This window comes from Homo sapiens, chromosome 17, assembly GCF_000001405.40.
Source record: "Homo sapiens chromosome 17, GRCh38.p14 Primary Assembly".
In the NCBI taxonomy this organism is placed as follows: Eukaryota; Metazoa; Chordata; class Mammalia; order Primates; family Hominidae; genus Homo; species Homo sapiens.
Genome location: NC_000017.11, coordinates 11,780,748 through 11,797,168, shown reverse-complemented (window position 1 = coordinate 11,797,168; position 16,421 = coordinate 11,780,748). Strand labels below are relative to the sequence as shown.

Here is a 16,421-nt window from a genome sequence, read left to right as displayed (position 1 = left end):
TCCAACATCTTTTCCTGTGAGATTACACAAGTATGTTGCCAGCCCTGAATTCATAGGTTCAGTCCAGAGGGCTTGGTTTCTGAAGAATGCGCTACTAGCCACCCTCAGGTGACTGGTTTATTTATGGTAATCTTAACGCATTTATGGTAGAACTCCCTACTTACAACACTTTCGGGCTGTGTGTCAAATCTCACCCATAGGAGAAATGTTACCATGTTGAATAAATACGGGCTGGTTATAGTATAGTATAACTCAATTCATTTGAAGGATAAGGAGTCTGCGTCTCTTCACCAATATATCTCTAAGTACTGAAGAGAAGACCAATTTTTTAACTTTCATGTTAGTGGAGACAAAAAGGAACTACTTGCCTGTCAAAACCCAAATACCTGAGACTTGAGATAGAGGAAAGGTTGTCGAGGAGAAAAGTCCGAGAAAGAATAGGCTTTCTAAGACACAAATAGGAAGTTATGCCAGCATGAGCAGTTGTCCGCACCTGTCGTTTTTTCCTCCTAAAGTTCAGACTGGAAGACCTACCTGGGAAAGAGGTAACCAGTGTGTTATTTATCAGCAGGGACACGTCCCAGGGCATAAGTCACTGCAGGGTAAGCCTTGTAACCTATGGGATGAGATTCACCAAACCTAATATAGGGAAAGTGAGGAAGACAGTAACATCTATAGAGAAACCAGGGCTGCTGCCTGGGTGTAAGAAGAAAGGACTGGAAAGAGTTAAAAATAAAAAAGTTATTAGATTTTGAAGGTGATTTCAAAAACTATAGAAAACTTTTAAACTATTCTGGCTTTGCCAGACAATAACAAAAATGCTCAGACATTTGGATAAGATGTAAGCGCAGTGCAGGAGGACTATTCTTGCTATTAGGAAAACACATGAGGATGGAGGATGTAATGTGGGAAGACATTTACCCTGTTTGAGAATGGGCTAATGTCCTGGGAATCAGTTCTCATATTAGTCAATTGACAAAAACCATCTAGCGGAGGAGGAACTAAAGTGCAGTTTTGAAAAGGCTGGTTTACAAAGACTCTTTGAGGAACAAAACAAGTCTGTGATTTTATGATCAGAGCCATGCTGTGTAGAAGGCAGAGAGAAAATCAACCAACTCAGTGAATCAAAGATTCCTTAATAGTGATGCCAAATCACACAGGGCCATGAATCAGAGAAGCTTAAGCTTTGAATAGTGGAAACAGGATTTTATTGCTTTGTTGGTGAAAATCTGGCAACTTTTCCTTGATACCAATACCAAGATGTGGTGTGACCAAGGGTGCTTCAGGCTGGCATTTCAAATGTTGTTGGGGAAGGATAATGGCAATATTCATATATCTGGGTCTGTGATCAAAAGGCAGTGCTCTTCATACACAGACCCACACATGGAACTCTATTTGAAAGTTCAAGTGTTATTACTCTGAAGTGCTAGCTCAGACCGACTTGTAAAGACCATGAAGACTAATTTGCCAGGCCAACAATGAATACCTGAATTGGGTAACTCTATGATGCTCAGAGAAGGGCATCTAACATGAGGGTCTCAAACATCAGGCCCCAATAACAATGCTGAGAGAAGTGGGAGAATTTAGGACAGCTGGCTTAGTAAAAAGCAGAATAAAATAAGTGACTTAAAATGCTGTCTAAACATTCAAAAGGCTGTCACATAGGTTGGGATGGACTGCAGATATCTTCAGAGGTAGAGTCAAGATCTTACCAGGAAAAAAATACGGAGCTAAACCAAACAAGGTGAGTATGAGGACAACATAGCATACCTAAATACAAAATTTGAATATTTCTAATTTCCAGAGGGAACAGACAAGCAGTATGTGTGGAAAAGATGGGGCTTTGGTTAATAGAAGGCTCATTGTTAACTGTGGGGTAATTTCGACGCTAAGAAATAGAATACGATCTCAGGTTGTGCTACTATATCAATGCCTCCCAAGGCATAATCCATGGGCCATTCATTATGTAAATTATTAATAGGTTTAATGAGAGGAAAGAATTTTAGGGTCCAATACATTTGGGGAATGATATGTGAATTAGAGTTATTCAAGATTTCAGAACTTTAATGTCTTATATATATATATGTATTTTTTTATTATACTTTAAGTTCTAGGGTACATGTGCACAACATGCAGGTTTGTTACATATGTATACATGTGCCATGTTGGTGTGCTGCACCTATTAACTCATCATTTACATTAGTTATATCTCCTAATGCTATCCCTTCTCCCTCCCCCCACCCCACAACAGGCCCCTGTGTGTGATGTTCCCCTTCCTGTGTCCAAGTGCAGAACGTTAATGCCTTAAATCCACTGTGAATTTCCAAGAGAGTCATATACAGTGAAACATTTTCTCAACTCATTTCATGACAGAGACTCTTTTTCAAGAAGTATCTTGTAGCAAAACTACTTAGCAGGACACATTTTGGGAAACACAGAAACAAAACTATAGTCTTTAAGAAAAGGGGGAATGATGATCTTGGTTTTGGTCAGACCCCAGCTGGGTTGTGCAACGAAAAGTCAGGCATCACAATTTCAGAGGGGAGAACTGGTGAGAGAGCAATCAGGAGGATGTCAGAGTTCTTTAAGTTTGAAACCAATCCATGTCAGAAATGGTTAAAAGGATTCAGGCTATTTCGCCTGGAGAAGAGAAGACTCAGGAAGAGTGAGATAAGTGGCATTAAAATATTTGAGAGTTTGTCATGTAGACCTGGGTAGTGGACAGAGAAATAACTTCTAGATTATTATTAGACCAAATTTTCAGTCTTTAAAATTATTTCAAATGTTCCAAGTTTCAAAATTGCTCAGGCCGGGCTCAGTGGCTCACGCCTGTAATCCCAGCACTTTGGGAGGCCGAGGCGGGTGGATCACGAAGTCAGGAGATCGACCTCGGTGAAACCCTTGGTGAAACCCTCGGTGAAACAGTGAAACTCCGTCTCTACTAAAAATACAAAAAATTAGCCAGGTGTGGTGGCGGGTGCCTGTAGTCCCAGCTACTCGGGAGGCTGAGGCAGGAGAATGGCATGAACCTGGGAGGCGGAGCTTGCAGTGAGCCGAGATCGCGCCACTGCACTCCAGCCTGGGCGAAAGAGCAAGACTCTGTCTCAAAAAAAAAAAAAAAAAAAAAAAAAATTGCTCAAAATTTCCAGTTATTAGCAGCCCCAAAATGGCGGCCTTGGAAACAATGGGATGATGCATTTCAAGGATGCTAGAGCATCACTGGGGTAACCAATCTGAGAAATGCTGCTAGGGGACTAAGTACCATGTGGGGACTTGGATCAGATGATCTCTATGGACTTCTTCAACACTGGGATTCTGGGATTAATTTGCATCTATTCTTGCCCCAGCATTTTTTTACCTGGGCAAAATTATGACAGAATTTCCTTCCTCACCTAAACTCTGGCCTTTCTCCATTAAACAGCTAGATTTTATCATTGGGTGATCATCTGTATAATTATCTTTTTTTTTTTCAAATACAAAGAAAATCCATAGGGCAATACTCACATCAAAAGTTTTCTTGAGCACTTCTGTCTGGATTTTATCAAAAAGATCAAAGTCCTTTTCTTCTACCATCTTATCCCGATAAACTCGATTTGATTCATGCAGATAGAGCCTTATAAGATCCCATGTGGATTTCACACATTCCACTGAGGAGAAGAGAATGCCCTTCAAGGGGAACAGACACAAAAAAATAACGTTAATAACCATCCAGAGGTACAATAGCTAGGAAAACTTCCTGGAGCATTTTATCTAACCTGGGATGATGTCTAGGGCTTGTCTTGCTAAACAGATCATTCTAGTGGAGGGAACACTGAGAAGCTGAAAGGGAGCTTGTAAAGAAAGACCCAAGGGTTGCAGTTAGACAGACCTGACCTCAAATACTTGCACAACCACTATGTGACTTGTGACTTTGGGCAACCACTAAGCAACTGTGTGACTTTGGGCGAGGCATGTGACATCTCTGAGCCTTAGTTTGCTCACTTTTCAAAGTGGAATAAAAATACTGACTTTCTAAAGTTGTCTAAATAATTCAAATTAATATGCCTAAGGAAACAAGCATTGTTCATTTTACATACTCAATACATTGGAATTATTCTTTTGTGCTCATCATAAAAATAACAACTGCAACAGCTATAATTTATTGAAGCCAGTTATGTGGACTAGATGCTATTGAAGCCAGCATTGGACTAGATGCTTCGCCAGATGAAGCTCATTTAATACTCATGATGATCCCATGAAATAATTATTACTAAATCCATTTTGTATAATGTGAAGATTGGAATTCAGAGAGAAAACACGCCCCATTTCATAGAGTAAGTTGCCTTCCTAACTATAATGCCTGGAATTGTAACCACTCCATTTTGAATCACCCACAATGAGGGAAAAAGTGGTTTCTCTGCTATATTTCAATTCCACAGTGCCATTTTGAAAACTGATTCAGATAACAATTGACTATGTAAAATCAGAACTATAACAAAGGGCTAGAAGGGATATAGCTAACCTTGGCAGGTCAGCAATCTATTTATTTATCTCTAGTCAGTTCCCCTTCCTATGTGCCACAGGGTTGGTTTCAAATATTTATCATTCTTTTCAAATTTCTCTGTCATCTTTTTCTGTTACTATTAGCCAAAGTCCTAACCTTCTTTTATTTTACTGAAAGGTGGAGACCACCAATGTTAGAGCCCCTCAATAACCTCAACAAATTCTCTAAGTTCAAGCTCATCTATGTCTGTGCTTGTTCTCATTGCTTGCTTTCTTGTCTTAGAGGGAAAGGGATCATTTAATGGGTCTTTACTTAAATTCATAGAATAATGTGCAGATCCATTAACATAGAATACAAGTCTGGTGACAACATTACTACAATCTGCTTCCTCATGATCACTCTTTTCTTTTTGAGACGGAGTTTCGCTCTTGTTGCCCAGGCTGGAGTGCAACGGTGTGATCTTGGCTCACTGCAACCTCCGCCTCCCAGGTTCAAGCAATTCTCCTGCCTCAGCCTCCTGAGTAGCTGGGATTGCAGGCATGCGCCACCATGCCTGGCTAATTTTTAGTAGAGATGGGGTTTCTCATTGTTGGTCAGGCTGGTCTTGAACTCCCAACCTCAGGTGATCCACCCACCTCGGCCCCCCAGAGTGCTGGGATTACAGGCATGAGCCACTGTGCCCAGCCCCTCATGATCACTTTTACCACTACTTCCCATAAAACCTAGATTCCAGTTTCACAAAATTCCTATTATGTTCTGATCCTGCAAACTTTTCTGTGTCTTCATGCCTTTTGCTTTGCTTGCCATACTCATATTTCAAGATCTAGCTCAATTGAAACCTCTTGTTGAAGTCGCCCAAGACACCTCTCCTGTCCAGCGGCATTCCCTCCCATGTGCCTCACAGAGCCTTTATGTATACGTCTCGATTATAGAAGAATTATTAGTTTCCCAAATTATTTTTAATATTATTTTTGTGACAGAGTCTCACTTTTTGTCACCCAGACTGGAGTGCAGTGGTGCAATCTCGGCTCGCGGCAGCCTCCACCTCCCGGGTTCAAGCAATTCTCGTGCCTCAGCCTCCTGAACAGTTGGAATTATAGGCACGCACCACCACACCCAACTAATTTTTGTATTTTCAGTAGAGACCAGGTTTCGCCATATTGGCCAGGCTGGTCTTGAACTCCTGGCTTCAAGTGATCTGCCCACCTTGGTCTCCTAAAGTGCTGGATTACAGGCAAGAGCCACCTCACCCGTTGTCAAATTATTATTTTTTCTTTATACAGGTTTGCTTCTTCCGGGTGATGGCAAGTGTCTCAAAGGTAGGAAGTTGACAGACTTTATTTAGGTTGTGGTTTATTTTTATAATTGTATTATTAGTACTTAGTAAGTGATAAGTCTAAAGGTAATTTCTCAACAGAAACAATAAAAGAAGCCTTCAAAGTGCTGAAAGAAAATAGCAACCAACCTAGAAATCCAAGACACTCCTAAAATTTTTTAAAAATAAGAAATATATTTTTGGTCAAGTTAAAATTGTGAGATACTTCTCCAACAGATATGAACTAAAGTAAATACTAAAAGGAGTTCTTCAAGCAGAATAAAAATGATCCCAGGTGAAAGAACAGGAATGTACAGGAATAAAGAGCAATGGAAAAGGTAACATATGGGTAACTCTAAAGGAATGCTGACTTACTAAAACACAGATATCAGTGAGTTTTCAAAATACAGAGAATTAAAATAAATGATAGCACAAAAATCAGTGAGAGGTAAATTGTCCCAAGATCCTTGCATTGTATGGCAATTAATAAATATGCTAATTTATAAAAGACAAAAAGATAAAATGATGCTTTTGGTAACCATTAGATGAATAGCAAAAGGATGTATACTATGCTAAAAGAGGGAGAACAATTATAAAAACATACGATTAGTTTGATAGAATACAAGAAGTGAGAAGAAAGGAGGTAGAATAGATAGAATATATTAAAAAGAGCATAAGTAGATTTAATCATAAATATATTATTATATAAAATAACATAGATGAGCTAAACATTGTAATTAAAAGGCAATGTTGTCAGGTGGGACTTTAAAGAACCCAACCGTATGCTGCTTATGGGAGATATACCTTAAATATAAGAATATGGAAAAGCTGAGTGCAAGAAAATGAAAACATGTCATAAAAATATTGACTAAAGATATGGAATAGTCATACATACTAATGTCATACAAAATTGACTTTAAAGCAAACATCGTTTTTAGAGATAAAGAAGGGCACTTAATAAGAAAAAGATCAGTCTGCTAGGAAGATATACTAATTCTAAATCTGTATGTACCTAATAAATAACACAGTTTCAAAATATATAAAGTGAATATGACAAATAAAAGCAAAAATAAACGTACCCACCATCACAGTGAAATATCGTAACATCTCTCTCAGGGACTGAAGGAACAAGCAGACAAATAAATCTAGAAATTTTAGGAATTTTTTAAACAACATGATTTACAAGGTTGCTTTAACTGGAATGTTGATAAAACTATACCCAATATCTGCAGAATGCATTAAAAAAAAACCCTGCACATCGATTATATCTTGGGACATAGAGCAGTCTCAACAAATTTCAAAGGAATAAATCCATATAGAGTGTCTTCTGACAACAGTGGAATTAAAGTAGGCATCAATAAGAGAAAGATAACTAGATAATCTCTAAATGTTTGAAAATAAAGCAATACACTTCTAAATATTCCGTGAGTCAAAGAAGAAATCATAGTGGAAATTAAATATTATCAACTGAATGATAATAAAAATACAGCATATAAAAGCTTGCATGATGTAGCTAATGGTGTGATTAGAGATAAATTTATATAGTCTTATAATGAATGTTTTAGATGAGACAAAGGATGACAATTAATGATATAAGTAGCCATGCCAAGAAGTTAGAAATAGAACAAACTAACCCCAAACCCAAGGTAAGTAGGAATAAAAATTATAAAGCAAAGAGAAAATATTAATAATATATAAAACAGATATCAAATTAAGACAGTAAGAAAGTCAAATGCATAATGCAGGTATACCCTTCAGGTTTTTTGACTAGCACAATTGCTAACTCCCTAGCAAGGATGATAGAAGAGAAAAAAAGAGAAAAGACACACTTAATACCCAACATAAGGAAGAGGACATAATGTCAGATACAGCAGATATTTAAAAGATAATCTGAGAATATTACAATTTTATGCCAATAAATTAGCAACTATTGATAACAAGGATGTCTTAACATGACTGACACATGAAGAAATAGACAATCTGAATAGTCTTATACATATTAAAGAATTTGAATTTATAATTTAAAACCTCTACCAAACAAACCTCCAGGTGGTTTCACCAGTAAATTCTTCCAACATTTAAGGAAAGCACAATACAATGTTTTACTAAATCTTTTAGAGAACAGAAAAAGAGGAAACACTTCTCAAAGTATTTTATGAGGACTTTATAACCTTAGAATATTAGAGAAAGATTACAAGACAATCTTATGAATACAGATTCAAAAATTATATTAAAAATTATCAAATGAAACCTAGGAAAATATTTAAAAAAGAGCATGTAACAACCAAAATGAGTTGATTCCAGGAATGGTTGATTTAATGTTTGAAAATAATCAATTAATTTATCATATTACCAGAATAGAAGAGAAAAACTTTATATAATTAAACAGATGGCAGAAAAATCATTTGTTAAGTTTCAACACATATTCATAATTAAAACTCTTAGCAAACTATACACAGAAAAATATTTCCTTAATCAGGTAAAAGGTACCCAGAAAAACCAGTAGAGAATATCATATTTAATGGCAAACTATTAAAAGTGTTTCCCTGTAAAATCACGACTGTGTCAAAATGCTACTCTCATTGCTTCTCTCCAACATTGTACTTGAGTTGTAGCCAGCACAATAAGACAAGAAAAAGAACTAAAAAAATTTAAGGATTGAAAAGAAAGAAACATAACTGTTACTCTTTAAGTCAAAAAGTAACAATTATTAAAAATAGAGATACACATATAATACTGAACAAAGATACAAAGTGATATTGGCTATACTATTTATATAAAGTTCAAAAATAGGTCAAAATAATTTATGATGTTAGAAGTTTAGACAATATGTAGGGCTGACAAGAGGAGGAAAGCAGGAAAGCATGAATGGAAGGTGCAAAGGAGAACATCAGGGATATATTGAGAATGTTTTCTTTCTTGATCTGAGTGGTGATTACATAGGTGAGATCCCTTTGTGATAATTAACCAAGTTGTATGCTTGTGGCTTTTGTGTATTTCTACTTGTATGTTACACTTTGATAAAAGTTTATTAAAAGCAAAAAGAAATTCCCTTAGGTCTCCTTGGCTCTACCCAGATGTTTATTGCAGCCTCTGTCTCCTTCTTAGCTCTCCTAGGTACCTGCCATATATGAAATTCAGAGGACAAGAAAAAGCAACAACCAGGAGTCCAGACCTTTAGAATTTTGTGTTTTACAGTGAGGCAAGCTATCAGTTGAAGTTTATAAATCTTGTTATAGCCAAATAGTCAGGGTGGTTGACAATTAAGGCTGAGTAAATGTGAGCATGTCATATGCCAACTCTGCACCATCTTAGATAGTTATGTGTTGCACTGAGATGGGAATGGTTAGTGATTTCTGCTACTCAGAGCATGTACTGGTCCGTTTTCATGCTGCTGATAAAGACATACCTGAGACTGGGAGGAAAAGGGGTTTCATTGGACTTACAGTTCCACATGACTGGGGAGGCCTCAGAACCACGGTGGGAGGCAAAAGGCACTTCTTACATGGTGGTGGCAAGAGAAAATGAGAAAGATGCAAAAGCGGAAACCCCTGATAAAATCATCAGATCTCGTGAGACTTACTCACTACCACAAGAACAGTATGGGAAAAACTGCCCCCATGGTTCCAATTATCTCTCACTGGTCCCTCCCACAACATGTGGGAATTATGGGAGTACAATTCAAGATGAGATTTGGGTGGGGACCCAGAGCCAAACCATATGAGAGCACTATCAAATTCTGTTCTGATCTGAACAGAGCGAGGGGAGTACAGAGAAGTTCTGAATTACTGAGCCTGGGATCAAGCCAGATAAAGGAAAACAACAGTGTTCTCTGGGCAGTGCCTGTCTCCTAGTAGACATTAAACCACCCTCTATACCCTTCAATCAGGCCTTTGGTCAGACTCAAGGAGGAAGGGAGTGTTAAATCAAGTTTAGCCTAAAGCTGCCTCCTGATGTGCTTTAAGTATGGCCTAAAAGTTGCTCTGTACATTGTGAACTATGACTTAAAAGGAGGTGTAAATTGACTGTAACTACTCTTGTGCCAATCACTGAGTTTTGCCCAATTGCAGGTGGCCAGCTGTTAAAACTGTGTTTAAATAAGGCAAACACCAAGCTGTAACCAATCCAGCTGTTTCTGTGTCTCACTTCTGTTTTCTGTACATCACTTTCACTTTTCTGTCCAGAAATCTTCTTCCACCACGTGGCTTTGCTGGAGTCTGTCTGAGCCTACTCTGGCCCGGTGGGCTACCCAATTCGGATTCGTGAATTGTTCTTTGATCAGTTAAACACTGTTAAACTTAATTTAGCTAAGGTTTTTCTTTTCACAGCAGGTAGGAGGAGACTGTGGTCAAGCTATGAGCCTGAAACTCTCCTTAGAGTAGGAGAGTGAGGGGACCACGTAGCAGAAGGGAGGCAGCACTCCAGGGATGTTGCGTTCTCCACACTTGGAGCAGCTGACAGCTGGCAGGCTGCAAAGACGCCTGGCTGGGATGCAGACCTCAGGGGGTTTCCACTCAGGCTAACTGAATCAGGCAGAGAAACAGGCCAGGGGAACAATCTCCACTCCCATGTCTCTGCTGTCTGGTTCCTCCTTGATATTGCATCAGTGACCACTACCACAAGGTGTACTCTTTCCTCCGGAAGCCTTTTGTCACCGTGAATTACCTCCACAGCAGTGCTGAACATTCTAGCTGTTCTATCAATGCTGCTGCTTACCATTATGCGATCATGCAGTCACGCTCAAGAGACTGATTTGTCTGTGGCTCGGTTTTGTCATCTCTAAATTGAAAATAATCAGTATTTTACCTTCTAGGGTTGTTGTGAGGATTAAGTGCATTCATAGATGTAAAGGGCTTAGCACTGTGCTCAGTCAATGTTGGCTATTATTACAGACTAAAGTCTAACTGTTAAGTAGGGCCCACTCTGGTCTCAAGTTACCTTTCCAACCTCATCTCTCCTTTCCATATCACTCGTCGTTCCCACTGGGCTAAACTCCTTGCTATTCCACGAGAATTTTTTTTTTAACCTCCCTGACCATTGGCGCTGTCATTGACTAGCTAGTAACTTCTCTGAGCCTCTGTTAAATTGGGATAACAATGTCTATCCCAAAGGGTTGTCGTGAGTATTACATTTCAGGTTGTACAGGGGACAAGACCACTGTTCCAGGCAGAAGCTAAGGTTGGGTTGCTTCTGATAAATGGAGCATAATTGATGCTTCTCCCTTCAGTTCTGTCACTTAGGAGCAGTGTAGATTTGATCAAACAATGTTAACTTCTTTTTTTTTTCATTTGAAAAATCCACCTAGTAACACCCCCACTTCATAGAGCTGCAGTAATATTTAAGAGAAAGATTGTGTGGTGAAAAAGTCTTTCTCAATGAATGCTCATAAAATGGGAGCTAGTTGTGAGTAAGCACAAACTTTGCTGCTGTCCAGTCCTGAGGCCTGCAGAGATGCAGGCTTTATAGGCTCAGAGCTGAGTCTCTCTTGCTGCCTTAACCATCACATGCTTATTTTCCTCATTGGAAATTCAGATGAGGACAGAAAGGTGTGGTGGAAAGTCGTCCAGGCCAGGAACCCAAAGACCTAGATTCCAGTTCCTTTACTGGCTTCCTTGTGCTCCTGGGCAAATATATATGATCTATGTGGGTCTCTGTTTGTTTTTAATTTTTAAAATGAGCTAATGTTTGGGAGCTACATCTGATTCAGGAGTGGTATCCTGAACTAGCCTGGATGTGTTCTCAGAGACTTATCATTCTGAGGGGCTCATTGATTCCACCTTCAGGTGGAGCTTTCCTGGTCCATAGCTCTTGAGTCTCTGAACCAGGGTTTAGTAGGTTTCTGCTTCTTACAATCAGGAGTTCAGGCTGGAACAACCTGGCCTTATGTCGTCAGGGTCTGGAGCTTTGATGGTTTGGCTCAAAGTCCTGCCTGCATAATTGCTCTGAGAAATTAATTACAATTACATGTGCTGTCATTGGAAGGTGGTGTCACTGCCTGATCACTTCGACACTTTTTTATGGGTGTGGCCTCTGCTTGGTGTGAAAGGCATCATTCCCTCAATAATAACCCAGTATTATCTTGGGGGAAGGTCTCTCTACAAATGAGTTTCTGCAGATTCTTGTCCAGAATGGGAGAGTTGTAGACTTGGCTACATGAGGATACTACATCTGACCAGACGGAAGAAAGGGTCTGGGTTTGCTAGATGGCCCTCTGGAGACTTTGATGGTGATGAGCCAAGCAATTGGAAGCAATAGGCAGAGATACGCCATCACTATTCAGATAAGCAGTTGGAAAGATCTGAAACAGCTTTAGTCTAGAAATGAACCTGGGAATTTTAGGACTGAGACCCTCTTAGAGGCTGGCAGATGGCATCTTAGGAGTATGACAATGTGGTTTTTTGAGGAAGCAGAGCTATCTTGCACAGTTTGGGGAACACTCTTTTTCATCCCGAGATCAATAGGTGTACCAATGGGAGATCCAAAATAGTTTTCTTTCTTTCTTTTGGGCCATTTTTCTTCCCAGGCATACTGGACTCATTATATAAGACTATCTCCAAGGTGTTGAGCCTTCTGCAGCCCCCAGGGAACCAACTCAGAGATGCATGCTGCTTACCGAGAAATAATTTAATTGGCAAAGGAAACTCTATTTTATTGAGGGCCTTCCTCATGGAGCCCATGGCACTGTGTGTACCTGCTTATGTTCATGATTACATATGAACAGTGGCTTTGCCTGTGCCTATGAGCTGGGCATTAGCTACTTATTTTTATGAAGAATCGGAGCATCTGGATAATCACTAAGCCCCTAGGGTGTCTCGGAGCCGATGAACTCACCTGGAAAATGTTGGCAAAATCTCTGAGGTTGAAGATGTAGTGGAATTTGATTCCTGTGGGTAGGAAGGTGGTAGCAATTTTCTGGTGGAAGGCGAGGGCCAGATCGATCAGTGGGGGGATGGATTTCTGCAGGGACGCCGGGAAGTTTCCGAGCTTCAGATGCTGAGTGAGGATGATGCTGTAGATAGAGGACAGGGCATCTGCCCCCGGGAAGGAGAGGACAAACACGCTGAAGTGACGCTGTACAGGAAACAAAGGCATGAGCTCAACATCCGTTACCACGGAGTAGAAATCACCGCTTCTGAATTTGGAGATAACAGAAAATTCTTATACAGCCTTCGAATCTATATTTTGGTCCCATCTCTCACACTATGCCCAAATTTAGGTTGAACCTAAAATGACTAGGGGAATAACAGGCAAAGCACCTTCAGTTAAAGATGGCAGCCTGGGGCAGTAGGAAGAGAACTAAACTTGGACTCAGAGAATCTGAGTCCAAATCTGAATTTGATACTGAGAATCCATATGGCCCTGGGAAAGTCATTCATCTCTCTGAAGCGCCCTCATCTGAAGAAAGAGGGATCAAATCAGATGAAATCTATGACCCCTTCCAATCTTGAGACTCTAAGTCTAGGAGTTTCTCTTTTCCCCTAGAGATGCAATTTGGCATTCTATCTGATTTACCATTCTGAGAGGCTGCATGGGGAAAAAGGCCAATTATTATACTTATAATCAAGGGGCATCAGCTCTAGTAAGATAGGATTAGGACCCAGGTCCCATGGCTCCTCCTGTACCTGAAGCCGGGGGTTGATGGTGAAGCTGCCTGCCGTGGGGTTCATACAGGAAACATACTGTACATTTGTGATCTCCTTTAGGGACAGCTTGCTCCGATCATACCTGGAACAGTCAGAAGCTCTAGGTGAAAGGTGTCTGAGGACTGAGGCAGGTGAGTGCTTTGTCAAGGTGCGGTAGGATGTGCCCTACTGTTCATGTGTTTGGGTGATAAAAAAGTCTAGATCCACCGGCAGGGATTGAGAAGAGATAAGAGCATAAGACAGATTCCCAAGGTACCTCCATATCTAAGGAAATAGCATAGGAAGACGAGCCAGCAGGATGGACAAAAAGATAGGAGAAAAATCAGGGGTTCGTGCCATACCAAAAGGCAAAGGAAGCCAGTGTTCTCAAAAGAAGAGAGTGGTCAACCACATCAAGGGCTGCAGAGAGAATAACAAAGGTAGTGACTTCAGCAGGGGTGTCTAAGGGAGAGAATGCAGTCATGGGTTCTTAGCTTCCATCTCTGGTTGGGCCAGTAATGCCCCTTCCTCATCCCTCTTTTCCACTTATCACTAGAGACAGAAACTAAAAACCATGGTTTCAGGCTGCTAAAAGCCTAAAACAAAACAAACCAGAACAACAACAACAACAAAATAAGGCAGCTGGACAAGCTTGCAAAGGATTTCTTGGATTTTGTAATAATGATGCAGATAGTAGTTTAGTAAGAACAGTGGAGGGAACAGAAATCAAATAATAGTGGATTGAGGAGTGAGTGGGAGATAAGAGAGTGGGGACAGAACAGTAATTATAAAGTAATTTTTTAACCCAATAGAATAAATTTATGCAAGTTTATTTTTAATTTATTCTTTTTTTGAGACGGAGTCTTGCTCGGTCACCCAGGCTGGAGTGCAATGGCAGATCTCGGCTCACTGCAACCTCTACCTTCTGGGTTCAAGCCATTCTCCTGCCTCAGCCTCCTAAGTAGCTGGGACTACAGGCATGGGCCCCCACATCCAGCTAATTTTTATATTTTTAGTAGAGACAGGGTTTCACCATGTTGGCCAGGCTGATCTCAAACTCCTGGGCTCAAGTGATTCGCCCACCTTGGCCTCCCAAAGTGCTGGGATTACAGGCATAAGCCACTGCACCCAGCCTGTTTATGCAAGTTTAAATGATGTGAAGCAGCTAATGAGGAGATGGGGACCGATCGATGAGTGGGAGACGGTAGAATGAAGAGGCTGGTGGAAGGTTTGGCCTTAGGTAAGATGTAACAGGAGGGTGGAGGAGAGATGCATGGGGACACGGGTGAGTTGTATAGATGTGGAAGCAAGAAATGGAGGCGGCATCTGTGTTCTCTGAGAAGGCAAGGTCATCAGCTGAGGTGTGGTGGGAAGATCAAAGAGAGGGAAGATGGAATGAAATAGACATTTCTGAGAGTGGACATACTAAGGCCATATGGTAGAATTTCCAGGAAGCTTCTACTTCCCATTTAAGGTTTGTGACCATGAATCTAAAGTAAAACTAGTTAGCTTGACTCTAATGATTGTCCATGAAATTAAGCTGCTCAGATGTCAGTGTGGAGATTGCAAACAGTTCCATAGTTCAAGCATCCAATAAAGATTTTGGGAAGGAAGAGAAGGCAACTCAAGTTGCCATCTTAACTAACATTCTTCTCTCTGAATTCTCTCTTCTCACTCTTTCTCAGCAGCAGATTCAGTATGCGGTAGAAAGGTGAGTCAAAGTTGTCTCAAATCAGTGACTTGCTTTTTTTTTTTTTCCTAGTAAGTTCAGACTTTTGCCATTAAAAATTATGCTGTCGCAAGAGATACTATCCAGCCCTCTGAGCTGCTCTGAAGGCACTGAGGCTGGAAGGTCTGCAGACACGGTGCATGGTACCGGGTGTTTGGTAGTTTTTTTTTTGTTTGTTTTTTTTTTTTAAGATGGAGTCTCGCTCTGTTGCCCAGGCTGGAGTGCAGTGGTATGATCTCAGCTCACTGCAATCTCCGCCTACCAGGTTCAAGCTATTCTCCTGCCTCAGCCTCCCGAGTAGCTGGGACTACAGGCGCCTGCCATCACGCCTGGCTAATTTTTGTATTTTCAGTACAGACGGGGTTTCACCATGTTGGCCAGGCTGGTCTCGAACTCCTGACCTTGTGATCCACCCGCCTTAGCCTCCCAAAGTGCTGGGATTACAGGCATGAGCCACTGCACCTGGCGTGTGTTAGGTGTTATCATTGAAGCACATGCCCAGTGCTGTGGGGCCATGGTGCAGGGGAAGTGGTTAATTCTGCTTCGGGCATGTGAAAAAGGCAACTTCGGAGATGAGTCTTGAAGCAAAAAGTAGGTTTTTTTTCCTTAGATGAGAGCTCAGTGTCTTCTCTGGCTAAATGTTTCATGTGAATATTAGTGCTCCTGTTTGAAGGAACCACTCTGGGAAATAGAGAATTGAATGAGAAATGTGGTTTACCACAAAGATTCCCATCTGGCACCAGAGCTATGCTGAGGTTTGCCGTTCAGGCAGAATAGAGACTGGCCTTCAGCCCTGCCTTAGGCTCTGCTCCCTTGGGCCAGTCCCTCTACATGGGCGCTCTTACCAGTGGCCATAGTCCAGATGCTGCCGGATGATGGTGTGGGGCTGCACCGTCCCGTAGGCATCCACCTCAGGCATGTTCATGTCATCAATGAAATAGATGAGTTTCTTGTTCCCTGGAGGGCCATAGTTTCTGCCAGCCTTCTTTTCCAGAGGCTTCTCCAGGACAGCTGGGGAGAGAGCCAGTCGGTGAGGGAAGGCGGCTCAAATCTCAGATGCCAGTACTGAGACAGCAAAGATTTCAAGGAGAAGCAATGGTGCTGCCTTCATGTGTGCAAAAAACAGCAACGCGAAAGACAACAATAATAACAGCTACTGCTGCTCCCAACAGGCATTCTACAGGACCAGAAAGTGAAACTGAAATTACTAGGCAGTAATGGGGACTGAACACCTCACCACGTGCACTGTGCTAAGTTTTTAGACATCTTAAT

At 40.9% G+C, this 16,421-nt stretch overlaps 1 protein-coding gene across 6 annotated transcripts in view; it reads right to left on the bottom strand.

Moving 5' to 3' along the window:
• DNAH9 (dynein axonemal heavy chain 9) overlaps positions 1 to 16,421 on the bottom strand; it is a 371,279-nt gene that overhangs the window by 172,580 nt on the left and 182,278 nt on the right. For 5 of the 6 annotated variants that reach the window (XM_011523703.3, NM_001372.4, XM_017024292.3 and 2 more), the window contains 4 exons: positions 15,995 to 16,160; positions 13,421 to 13,523; positions 12,630 to 12,869; positions 3,505 to 3,666 (listed from right to left, as the gene is read on the bottom strand). In XM_011523703.3, the coding sequence (XP_011522005.1) occupies positions 3,505 to 3,666; positions 12,630 to 12,869; positions 13,421 to 13,523; positions 15,995 to 16,160 (671 nt within the window). The other variant, XM_017024295.2, reaches the window with a different exon arrangement.